At 37.5% G+C, this 13,550-nt stretch overlaps 1 protein-coding gene across 5 annotated transcripts in view; it reads right to left on the reverse strand.

Annotated features, from left to right (window-relative positions):
* TRPC6 (transient receptor potential cation channel subfamily C member 6) overlaps window positions 1-13,550 on the reverse strand; it is a 132,444-nt gene that overhangs the window by 118,173 nt on the left and 721 nt on the right. Inside the window, exon 1 of one of the 5 annotated variants that reach the window (XM_047427511.1) lies at window positions 13,439-13,531. The exons of the other annotated variants lie outside the window; for them this stretch is intronic. The gene's annotated coding sequence lies outside the window, so the exon portion shown is untranslated. Of the gene's footprint in view, window positions 1-13,438; window positions 13,532-13,550 lie in introns of those variants that run through there. 5 annotated transcript variants of the gene reach the window in all.

The following is a 13,550-nucleotide window of genomic DNA, read 5'->3' on the forward strand; positions in this document are numbered from 1 at the left end:
ATAGAAACTGAACAACCTGCTCCTGAATGACTACTGTGTAAATAACAAAATTAAGGCAAAAATAAAGATGTTCTTTGAAACCAACAAGAACAAAGACACAATGTACCAGAATCTCTGGGATGCAGCTGAATCAGTGTTTAGAGGGAAATTTATACCACTAAATGCCCACAAGAAAAAGCATAAGAGATCTAAAATTGACACCCGAACATCATAATTAAAAGAACTAGAGAAACAAGAGCAAACAAACTCAATAAGCTAGCAGAAGACAAGAAATAAGTAAGATCAGAGCACAACTGAAGGAGATAGAGACACAAAAAACCCTTCAAAAAAATTCAATGAATCCAGGAACTGGCTTTTTGTAAAGATCAACAAACTAGATAGACCACTAACCAGATTAATAAAGAAGAAAAGAGAGAAGAATCAAATAGATGGAATAAAAAATGATAAAGGGGATATTACCACCGATCCCACAGAAATACAAACTACCATCAGAGAATACTATAAACACCTCTATGCAAATAAAGTAGAAAATCTAGAATAAATGGATAAGCTCCTGGACACATACACCCTCCCAAGACTAATCCAGGTAGAGGTCAAATCCCTGAATAGACCAATAACAAGTTCTGAAAATAAGGAAGCAATTATTAGCCTACCAACCAAATAGAGTCCAGAACCAGACGGATTTACAGCCAAATTCTACCAGAAGTACAAAGAGGAGCTGGTACCATTTCTTCTGAAACTATTCCAAACAGTAGAAAAAGACAGAATCCTCCATAACTCATTTCATGAGGTCAGCATCATCCTGATACCAACACCTGGCAGAGATACAACAAAAAAGAAAATTTCAGGCCAATATCTCTGATGAACATTGATCCGAAAATCCTCAATAAAATATTGGCAAACCAAATCCAGCAGCACATCAAAAAGCTTATCCACTATGATCCAGTTGGCGTCATCTCTGGGATGCAAGGCTGGTTCAACATACACAAATCAATAAATGTAATCCATCACATAAATAAAACCAATGACAAAAACCATGTGATGATCTCAATAGATGCAGAAAAGGTGTTTGACAAAATGCAACAGCCCTTCATGATAAAAACTCTCAAACTAGGCATTGATTGAATGTATCTCAAAATAATAAGAGCTATTTATGACAGACCCACAGCCAATATCATACTGAATGGGCAAAAGCTGGAAACATTCCCTTTGAAAGCTGGCACAAGACAAGGATGCCCTCTCTCACCACTCCTATTCAACATAGTATTGGAAGTTCTGGCCAGGGGATTCAGGCAAGACAAAGAAATAAAGCGTATTCAATTTTGAAAACAGGAAGTCAAATTGTCTCTGTTTGCAGATGACATGATTGTATATTTAGAAAACCCCATTGTCTCAGCCCAAAATCTCCTTAAGCTGATAAGCAACTTCAGCAAAGTCTCAGGATACAAAGTCAATGTGCAAAAATCACAAGCATTCCTATACACCAATAACAGACAAACAGACAGCCAAATCATGAGTGAACTCCCATTCACAATTGCTACAAAAAGAATAAAATACCTAGGAATCCAACTTGCAAGGGATGTGAAAGACCTCTTCAAGGAGAACTACAAACCACTGCTCAAGGAAAAATAGAGGACACAAGCAAAAGGAAAAACATTCCATGCTCATGGACAGAAAGAATCAATATTGTGAAAATGGCCATACTACCCAAAGTAATTCATAGATTCAATGCTATCCCCATCAAATTACCATTGACTTTCTTCACAGAATTGGAAAAAACTAATTTAAACTTCATATGGAACCAAAAAAGAGCCCACATAGCCAAGACAATCCTAAGCAAAAAGAACCAAGCTGGAGGCATCACGCTACCTGACTTCAAACTATACTACAAGGCTACAGTAACCAAAACAGCATGGTACTGGTACCAAAACAGATATACAGACCAACAGAACAGAACAGAGGCCTCAGAAATAGCACCACACATCTACAACCATCTGATCTTTGACAAACCTGGCAAAAACAAGAAATGGGGAAAGGATTCCCTATTTAATAAATGGTGTTGGGAAAACTGGCTAGCCATATGCAGAAAACTGAAACTGGATCCCTTCCTTACACCTTCTACAAAAATTAATTCAAGATTGATTAAAGACTTAAACATAAGACCTAAAACCATAAAAACCCTAGAAGAAAACCTAGGCAATACCATTCGGGACATAGGCATGGGCAAGGACTTCAAGACTACAACATGAAAAGCAATGGCAACAAAAGCCAAAATTGACAAATGGGATCTAATTAAACTAAAGAGCTTCTGCACAGCAAAAGAAACTATCATCAGATTGAATAGGCAACCTACAGAATGGGAGAAATTTTTTGCAATCTATCCATCTGACAAAGGGCTAATATCCAGACTCTACAAAGAACTTAAGCAAATTTACAAGAAAAAAACAAACAACCCCATCAAAAAGTGGGCAAAGGATATGAACAGACACTTCTCAAAAGAAGACATTTTTGTAGCCAACAAACATATGAAAAAAAAACTCATTAGAGAAATTCAAATCAAAACCACAAATTAAAACCATCTCATGCTTGTTATAATGGTGATCATTAAAAAGTCTGGAAACAACAGATGCTGGAGAGGATGTGGAGAAATAGGAACACTTTTACACTGTTGGTGGGAGTGTAAACTAGTTCAACCATTGTGGAAGACAGTGTGGCAATCCTCAAGTGTCTAGAACTAGAAATACCATTTGACCCAGCAGTCCCATTACTGGGTATATACCCAAAGGATTATAAATCATTCTGCTATAAAGACACATGCACACATATGTTTATTGCAGCACTGTTCACAATAGCAAAGACATAGAACTGACCCAAATGCCCATCAATTATAGACTGGATAAAGAAAATGTGGCACATATACACCATGGAATACTATGCAGCCATAAAAAAGGATGAGTTCATGTCCTTTGTAGGGACATGGATGAAGTTGGAAACCATCACTCTCAGCAAACTAACACAAGAACCGAAAACCAAACACCGCATGTTCTCACTCATAAGTGGGAGATTAATAAGGAGAACATATGGACACAGGCAGGGGAACTTCACACACTGGGGCCTTTCAGGGGGTGAGGGGCTATGGGACGGATAGCATTAGGAGAAATACCTAATGTAGATGACGGGTTGATGGCTACAGCAAACCACCATGGCATGTGTATACCTATGTAACAAACCTGCACGTTCTGCACATGTACCCCAGAACTTAAAGTATAATTAAAAAAAAAACTCATCAAATGACCTAAGCTCCAAGAATATAAAACTCCAATAAGGTATTTCTAAAAATGCTAAGATGAAAACTTGATACCCTAAAGGCAAAATCTAGTGATACAGTATGACGTCCATAGAGGAAAGAATTGTAGAGATAAGGCCAATACACTGAAATCATTTTGTATAAGGCAGGCATTAATTTATTCATTTCACAAATATTTCTTGAGTCCCTACCAGATGCGAGTCATTTTTTTACAGAGTACCTCCTTTCCTCATCGAACTGGTATTCTACTTCAGAGGAAGCGTAGAACAGTAAAGGTAAAAGCAAACAAGCAAATAAACAAAACAGTCAAATATGAACCCAAATCCTGGCTGAGATACTTAAGAACCATTAATTCTTTGGCAAATTATTTTACCTTTCTGAACTTCTTTTTCTGCATTTACAAGTAGAAATAATATTACCAACCACACAGGTTTGTTGTGAGGATCAAATAAGCTAATGTAAATAAAGCTAGGGCCTGGCATAGTCTTATCTGTGTTTTCAAGTTAGCTAGAGAATAAAATCCAAACTTCTTAGCTTTTGGACAGATCATAAACAATACTGTTTGCCTTGTAATCTTTCATGTTTCCTCTTCTTTCTCATTTACAGTAACTCTAGCCCACTGAACATCATATTTCATTGAGTGTAAGACACATATTTCTCCCATTTTAACTTTTCTACATACAACATGTCTTATAATCCAAGCCTTCTTGCAATCGCTGTCAGTCAAGTGTCAGTCATTACCGTGACATAGTTTTCATCATCAGTGCATGTGCCAACATTAATAACAATGGCATCCAGAGTTTCAGAATGAATGGCATGGTTTGAAAAAAATCCTGGGAACAGTAGTGAAGCTCCTTTCAAGCCTAAGAAACAAATACGTGTGTGTGTGTGTGTGTGTGTGTGTGTGTGTGTGTATGTGTGTGTGTGTTGAGAAGGGTGGAGAGTACGTAAGGAACAGTGTTGAATCAGATTTGTTTAGCAACATTCTGGAACTGTTACTCAAAACAGTCTACCTCTATGTAATTGCAAACTCAGTTTAATTGTCTAGCACCAAAAGCTTTTGGTCTATTATGGATTCTTTAGATTGTTTTAAAGAAATCCTTCATCACCAATGTCCTTTTGGCACAGAGCACAATCCTGTGGAAAAATATGGGCACTGAAGCTTCTGAGTTGAAAAGTGATTCTGAAGACTCCATCCCCAAATGTGAAGGAACTTAGGAATACCATAACAAATTTGTTTATTTTTTAATTATGTGCATAAGAGTTATATATGATCCAAATCTATATCTAATTGAGTATAAAGAACTGTTTTAAGAGGTATAAAATAAAAATCTAAGATATAATTTAACTGATAACACTTCTTTTTGCTTATTTCTTAAAGATACATAAAATGTCAGAGCAGGTTACAATTGATAGAAGCTTAGACTTCATGCTATATGGTATTCATTGGTTACCCTAAAATGGTGCCTAACATACCAAAGGAACTTAAACAAATGTTTGTTGAAATAAATTAAGAATCTTTCCAGATGGAATACAGTGTCTGGCCCTGAATGCCCCTCCAAGAAAAGGGTTCCTGCAGAAATCCCTCCCCTAGGTTAAGTGTGGGGATTTTCTTACTGCCCAGGATCAGCTTTTTATAGCTGCTTCTGCCACCCTTCAATCTACTCTATACAAAATTCTGTTTCAAGAAGGCTAACTCAGTAATAACAAAAATGATTTTTATCTGTAACAGTTTAGCTCCCTAAAAGAATTTTTAAGTTACCTTTAGAAATTGCCATTTCTAATTCTTATTTTGACTCCTAACTCTCAAGATAATTTTATTAGCGATTCCCATGAAAAGAACTCTTCCTAGTTTTTTTGTTTTTTCTTTTTTTTGTGAAGGTTTTGTGCTACTACAAGTCAGGACAAAATGCTTTTTGTATCACAAACCAAAGCTGGTGCAATGGAAACATGAACTCTGCTTTGAATAGGCAGTCAATCTTAACATGACTATCCACACTGTAATTGATTCCTGGCAACTTATATTTTTAGACGAATACCATGTAAATGCTTTAAAAATTATGCAAATCTTGTGGTTAAATCCCCAGTTTCACACTGTCATGTGAGTCAATGTCTCTAAAACAACCTGCATTATAGCATAGAAGCAGTTTTATCCACATGATGGCAATGAAAAGTAAAAGAAAGCCTTGCCTTTTGCAATCTTTAGTCATGATCAGTTTGTGGATCTTTGGTAACATTAGCAATCGACACAATTTTGTTAACATTCATAGTCTTCCTTTGGTGACAAAGACTGGCAATTTTTCAAAACCTAGTTTCACTCTTTATTGAAATAAGAGATAAAACAAAATCCTTTGCTCTTCCCTTTCTTTCTTCCCATTTGTGCCAACTGCTAGCTGTGTAGCATTTGGCAAGTCACCTACCTTCTTTTTACTGTCATTCTTTTTTCTTATCAGTAAAGTGAGGATTATAAAAATGCATATCTCATAGGTTTGTGATACGGATTAAATGAGTTAATACCTACAAAGCACTTGGAGAAGGGCCTAGCACACAGAAGTCGCTAATAAATCTAGCTATTATTTCTATTCTTGCTGGACATAATCATATAAAATCAACAGAGATGAATGAATAAATAGATTAATGAATTAATGAAAGAAGTGAGATATAAAGCTTGACCTCCAAAGATGGCTAAGATTTCAACAGAAAGAGAAAGTGGGGGTTAAACATACTTATTACTGCTATTTATGCCCTTTTCTTCCAGTCTTCTATCCGTACCCAGGATATAACTTAGATATAATGAGCACAGCACAAGGAATGTTGGTTCAGTAGATCAGAGCCAACGTGTGGCTTTCCAAATTCCTATGAAAAGGGAGAAGAGAAGGAATGGGGGTGAGTGCGCTTTTGAAGAGCATAATCCACCTGTATCCAGCTGTGCCTGGCTGAATACTGAGAGAATAGAGGACTGAGATATGGGATACTGAGAGAATCTGCCAGCCCCATGGTCCACGTGTTCCAGCCCCAAATATATTGGGTTTTGCCCACTTGACAACAACCTACTGGCTGTGTAACTTACTGCACATTGTTTAACATTTCTAAATTTCAGCATTGTTCTTTATAAAACGGATGCTAAAAATAGCTGAGTAGATGCTCTGAAGATCAAATTACATTTGTATGACAACTAGAAAAGAACCTGCTACAGAATAGGTATTCAAAAAATGTTAGTTGCCCCAAATATATATAAATATTTTGGATTAGTCCTCCACAGAAACAGCAACTTACATTAAACTGTATGTAATTCTAGTTAACATCATTTCTCCTCTTTGTCATGGCTGAGAGCTGAATTAGGTGGAGAACAGTTATGCTGCAATCATATAGGTTGTTTGAGTATGTGTAACACTCATTTCTGTATTCTGCTCTAAACAGAGATTCTATAAGAACTGTGATTCAGTCAGTTCCAATGGCTTAAAGCCTCTTGAGCAGCATACCAAATTTTAGATGCCAAAGTTTAATTGAAACTTGGCATATGGATGAACACTTCTGCATGTATTGAAAGCCATCAGAAGATTCCTAAACAAAGAGCAATCACACACATGGTAATTTTATCCAACTGGAACCAATTATATTTGGCATTTTTTATGAAAGAGGGAGAAAAATAAGAATGGACTCAAGAAAATGTTTTCCTTTTATGACTTTTACCCTCTTTAAGATGAATTGCCTTATGAAGTTACTTCTTACAACTCAAGGAGCATAAACTGTCTAGAGAAAAAAAATTATGCAATGTCTTCCTGGAGGCAAACATTTTGTTACAGAATAAATGTGGACTTTTAAGCACATCTGGCAATCATTCCACAACCTACAATGCTGGCACCCTAAAAATGCTTCACGATAATAATATGTTACCAGTAGAGTTGATTACTTCAAGCCAGGGGAGGTTTCAACACAAAACAGGTCATTTCCATGCAGAATACAGAGCTTCAAAGTCATCAGCTATGAGACCCACCATTAATCCAAGTGGTTGGGGGAGACGATTACTCCTAATAGAAGGGGAGCCAGATTTGAAGGTGGTTTTTACACGTGCTTTTCCCCTGGAAGAGCAAGCTTCCACACTGCAATCTTTCACCAAAGTCTAGGTCTTGGCTTTATGGTTATAGATGCCATTTCAAAGGGTATACTAGATTATAGGATTCTTTCTGCGTTCTAGACCACTACATATGTATAAGAAATCATTGTGTCGCACATGTTCTCTTTTATTGATTTCACTTACCATTCAATAAATATGTCTTGTTAAGAAAATCAGCCCTTTAATTTTATTTGGAAATACCTCGTACTGCTGCTGGACTGTCATGTTCTGATGTGACTGCCCCTTTGGGGTCAGAGAGTAAAGCCACACTTCTGTAGGTCAGTGGTGGTATCTTTGCTTAAAGGAGTAGACATATCTAATGTCAATCATCTAGGAAAGAAGGAGAATTTTAAAAAGAAATAAAGTTTGGAAAATAGATATTACACCAAAGAAAAAGGTTGTGGCGGGAGGTGGGGAGGCAGTCATTCTTCAGTCTGGGCTAGGACAAAGGACTAGATTGATTGAGGACGGTCTGCAGAGGGAAAACAAGAACGCTCGCTGCCAGATAGATAATGCTTGGGGCCAGGCAAGGGTCAATCCCCAGGAGACTCCATAAATGAGCTGGAAGAGCAGTTATAGCCAGCCAGGAGTTTTTCCCTTTTTATTAATTCTCTTTGGTAAAGATATAGCCTCGCCTCAGGTGTGCAGAGGGAACTTTAACGGAAGAGCCTCAGGCTAGAGAGCTAAAAGAAGAGTAGTATGCTGGTGGCAGTAGTGATTGGTGAAAGATTCCCTGAAAGATGAGTCTTTGTGACAGGCAGCTGGAATACAAGATATAGGTATCTCTTTTGATATGGACATTCACTCTTCTGCCCAACTTAGCTGATCCAGATGCTATTTCATTAAAGTAGCTGGCATCATTTTATTCCTTATTTGAATAAATATCAAGGAGGAGGAAATCTCTTTGTTGAGGAATAGATTAAATGGTACCTTCTCTCTGCTAGGCACTGTGTTAAGATAGGGGGATGAAGGACAGACCCACTTCTTGTGGCTTACATTCTAGTCAGAGGAAAAGGACGTGTGAACAAATAAATGTAAAAATGTGTAACAGATGTTTCAATGAACATAGTTGCCAAAAACAAGGGAGAGATAACAAGGATATAATAATTTAATATGATGCATAGGCCTGAGTCCATGTTCTTCAATCTTAAACTTCTTTAAGAGACTAGTTATCCTATTGGCAAGTAATATCAGGAAAGATTCTCTAGCCTACAGTCTGAATTTTTCATTCCCTTATTATCAATGTGTTCAATACTAACTTTTTTTGCCTGGAGAAAAGAAAACAATATGTGGGGGATTTTACTTGTGGTCTCTAACATTACATTACCTTTCTTAAACTGGGAATTCAAACTCTGGATCTTATTTTCATAAATGGGGTTCAGGTCACCCAAAACCCTCTTGAAGTCAATAAAAATTTTAAAGGATCTGTGACCCATTTTTTAAAAGTCATTTTTTGTTTTTTTCATGTGAGAGGATATAATTAAGAATCACTTTGAGTTTCCTCTAAGACTGTGATGCAATAAGTCACCTTTTAAAAATATTTAGTACATATCCATCGGAGACCTTATCAGCAATGGAGCACTGACTCCATTAATAACAAGAGAGTAAACCTTTTATGTAATGGAAAAGCCATAGTTCTTACAAGCTATACATTCTTTAACCAAGGTAATATCAAAATATATTATGAGTGCATTTCCACTGTAAATACTTTGAATTTTAAAACTCTCTCATTCAAATCTCTGTTTTCTTTAATTTTTAGTATTTCCTCTTGTCTTTGGTGTTCTGCAATTTAAATGATATGTTTAAATGGGGTTTTTTTTCTGTTTTACAATAATATTGGTATACTTCATAAACATGAAAATTCATTATTTCTGGAAAATCCTTACCCATTATCTATTCAAGTCTTGCCTCTCCCACTTCTATATGTTTTCTTTTCCTGGAACTCTTACCTTCTAGCTCCATTACTCTTAACGATGTTCATACAAAATATTTTTTATGTCTCTGCATTTTGGGTATTATCATCAATTATGTTCTAATCTGCATTTAGCCCTTCCATTAATTTTTTTTAAGAATTGTATTTTTTACTTATAGATGTTCTATTTGTCCTTTTCTTTAAAAATGTCATTTTTTTCTTAAGGTTTGATTTATTCTTTTATATTGTCAACATTTATATGTACTTTTAAAGATTCTTTTTCATGTGGTTGTATTATCTCAACTTTTTAAAAAATCCACTAACTACTGCATGTCTTATATCTACTCACTCATGGTCGATTGAGTCCATGGTCCACTGACTCTCACTCTTGGTCGATTGTTTCCTTGTGTGTTTTGTTATTCATTATAGCAAGCATATCTTTAGCAGGACTTGCTTTCTTCTTGAAAAGCCTAGGCAATCTAGATGCTTGATACTAGTCTTTCATAATGATTTTGTGTTTTACTCTTATAGGAACCTCAGGAGTATTTTCCATGTTGACTATTTCTAGGCTAGTTAGGTAGGGTATAAAAACAAAAACCCCAAAAACGATATTCTCAAGGGGAGTGTTCTTTTCTTCTTACTGTTAAAGTTTCCTGTTCTCACTGTATGCTGGTGGGCATATATTTCTAGCCTACATTTTTATTTAATGGCTTTATGCAGGGCACAGGGGTATCTCAGTTCCAGCTCTCTGCCTCATCTGGCACCAAGAGTTTACCTTCTTTCTGTCTCATATGGACATCAGATTCCAGGCTTCTTCGTCACTGGGACGCATAACTCACAGGGCAACCACATCATCACTTCACAATCTATACTCGCTTTTAATGTCTTTGTTCTTAGCACATGGTAGATTACCCTTTTATTTTTCACAAAATTGGGAGATGTTTTAAAATCATTTAAAATCTTTTATCCAGTACTGCCAGGTGTCTGTAACCATAAATTTTTCAGATTGTCTCAGTCAGCTGAATTGCCAGTGCTTTAGTTTACAGTTTACTGTTTCATTATTCATAATCAATCAATTACTCCTTCCCAAGCAGAAAGTTTAGTTGGACTGTGTTTTCAGATCCTGAGATTTTAGAAATGCTTAACTTTTTTAAATGTCTGGGATTCTTCCCCAAGTTCAGCAGTGATGAACTGTAAACATACCTTTAAAGTTCTAAATAAAGGAAATCTGAAATGCCTCCTGGGACCTTGGCAGGACATGGGCCTTTCTTGCTAATCACCATTACAAATTGATCACAATAGAGAATATTAATTGATTTGCTATTGAAAGTTGAATAAAGAGAAAATCTGAGCCATTTTCTTCTGAACACCATTTCAATTTATTACTATTTTAACTATTAAGGCCTTATTTAACTATTAAGGCCTTATTGCACATAATTGCTCACAAATAAGATAATTTACCATAATTTTCAGTTTTACTACTGAAAACTGAAGCCCCATAAATATAAATAAAAACTGAAGCCCCATTACTACTGAAGCCCCATTACTACTGAAGCCCCATAAATATATGTAAAAAATTTTTCTAAATAAGAAAACTATGAAACAGAAATTTTTGGCAAGAGTCATAGAATTTATTCCACAGAAATGACAACTTACAAAGACTTGGGATCTTATAAGGGAAAATCTCAATGATTTGAGAAATGGCAATATTCATATCTAAAATGTACTAGTGATTGCCACTTTCAGAAATGATACACCTCCCACTATGAAATTGTATAAATCACAAGTCAAAAGCATATGGAAGAGTTGATTTCTACTCTACCAGAGGGAGTAATTTTCTTTAGCTCTTTCTCATACATCATAGGTGTGAAGTACTTTTGTTTCTTGGTTAAAATTTTTCTGTTAGTTGATTATTCAACTAGAAAAACTTAAAATCTTGTCAGAGAAAACAGTGGATGAAATGTAACTATAGAACCTTTTGGAAATAATAGATTCATATAAAACCAAACCCAAATTCTAGAGCATGGCTCACTCTTACATGTATTATAGTACCTCTGACATCACGCAGAGGGTGGATGTTATGAATTGAAGCACATTAAAATATTTCTGTTCATCACTCTGCTGCTCAGTTCTATTTATTAAGAATAGTCCAGGATTCTTGAACTAAGGGAATATTCACTAAATACTGCATGTTGAGGACAGCCTGGGTAACATAGTGAGAACTTGTAGCTAAAAAATGTAATAACAATAATTAGACAAATTAGGCAGTAAGCCACATTTGAAGAAAGCACTGGGAAGAGTTTTCAGGACAACTTGGAATTATTACTTTATTTAGTCTCTCTCACTACTGATATATAACCACAAGGTTTTTAATCAAATCATTTTTTGACAGACACAGCGACAAGTGATTATATGGATTACAGAATGAAAAAAGGTTTTGTTCATGGAACAGTCTAATTTTTAAAAAGCCGTATAAATTTTTAGTCACCTAGTTTAGCCAGGAGGTAATGTTGCCAAACCTATAACCCTCAGACATCGGAGATCTCAAGTTTAACCAATAAAAATTCCATCTATGTCTTAAACTTACACCTTCAAAGTACATTTTAAAATAGCAGCATTTCAGAATATCCAAGATTTATTTATTTTTCTTTCTATTCTTGTTTTTTCTTGTCATATATCACCTTGCTATTCAGAGGGTGGTCCACGGACTAGCAACCTTGTCATCATCTGAGGGATGTCAGAAATGGAGAATCTTGGGCTGTACCTAAGACCTGCCTTCTCAAAATCTGCATTCTAACAAGATTTCCACATGATTTGCATGCTAGCCATTAAAGTTGGAAAAGTCTGTACTATGAGACATAAAAATATCTTCTAATTTAACACATCAAGTGTAAGATTTCTTTGAGGGATGATGAAATTGTCCTGGAATTAGATATTAGTGGTGGCTGTACAACTTTATGGATATATTAAAAATAGTGCATTGTACAAGTTAAATGGGGGAATTACGTGGTATGGGAATTATGTCTTGAACTTTTAAAAAGAAAAACATATACATAATTGTAAATGCTCTTAACTTGCACAGCACACAGATGAATGAAACCAGTTCTAACTATTCTCCTTTATCTTTGAGAAAAGTTAGATGCTCCCTTTACTGCGGCTCACCTCTTACTTCGAAAGGGCACCGCAGCAGGGCTTGAGGCTGGGCAGCCCTGACACAGCACCCATCTATCAGGAGGGTCTGCCAGGCGCCTATGGGGTGGAATCCTCCCTCCAACTAAAGCTGTTTATAGAGCTGAGAACCTCGGGAAACCGCTTGCGGGTGGATGTGACAAGTCAGGAAACTTGACTACCCAATCACCCAAAGGGGCAATGGGACAGAAATGCTATCTGCCCGCTGCACATGTGGTCACAGCGGTGTCGGGGAAGCGGAGTCTTTTCTTCTGGAGTCCACTCTGCTTACTCCCTACCTCCCCTCCCGCCACCCACCCAGCTAAAAAAAAAAATACCCTAGATTCATAAACAAAAGCTTGCAGTTACCCACAGCCCAATACAAACGACCCGACGCCCTCACTTCTATAGCCCGTGAGTCTCCCAGCCCCTAACAGGCTCGTCTCCCCAGACGCCCCGGGTGAAAAGGTTCGCGCCGCCGGTGGAGAGTCCTATTGGTTCTATTTCTGTCTTCACTCCAAGGCCCCAGGACCGGGGAGAGGTCCTGGTCTAACTTTGGCTGTCCCACGGTCCAAGGACCTCAGCGCTCAGCCCGAAACGCTAAGCCAAGCGTGGAGACCGCCGGGCGCACCCAGCACCCAGGCAGCTCCAACCCTTGGAGTTCTAGTCATCTCTCCCCCACATAGGCTAAGAGTCACCCGGGCGCACATCTGAATCAGCCCCCTGTTCAGATCCCGCCTGTTACGTAGCGATCCTGTCTCTTGTAGAGCGCAGGATGAAGGGGTCTGGAGAAATCGACCACCCATCTAATCACCTGCAATGGTGGTGTTACTATGCGGTCTCACTCTCGTGGGCAAACATATCCATGCGTACCTACGAGGAGCAAACCTAGACAACCCCGCCTCCCCCACTCCCCGCGCGCCCCTCCACTCACTCAGGTCCCAGCCCTGGCTCTCGCGGACCTCCCAGCACCGTCCTAGGAGGTACACACGCGGGTTCAGGACGCGCGCGGACGGACTCGGCCACTCCTGCGAGCGCACAACCTC

The sequence above is a fragment of the Homo sapiens genome, chromosome 11 (assembly GCF_000001405.40).
Source record: "Homo sapiens chromosome 11, GRCh38.p14 Primary Assembly".
Taxonomy (NCBI): Eukaryota; Metazoa; Chordata; class Mammalia; order Primates; family Hominidae; genus Homo; species Homo sapiens.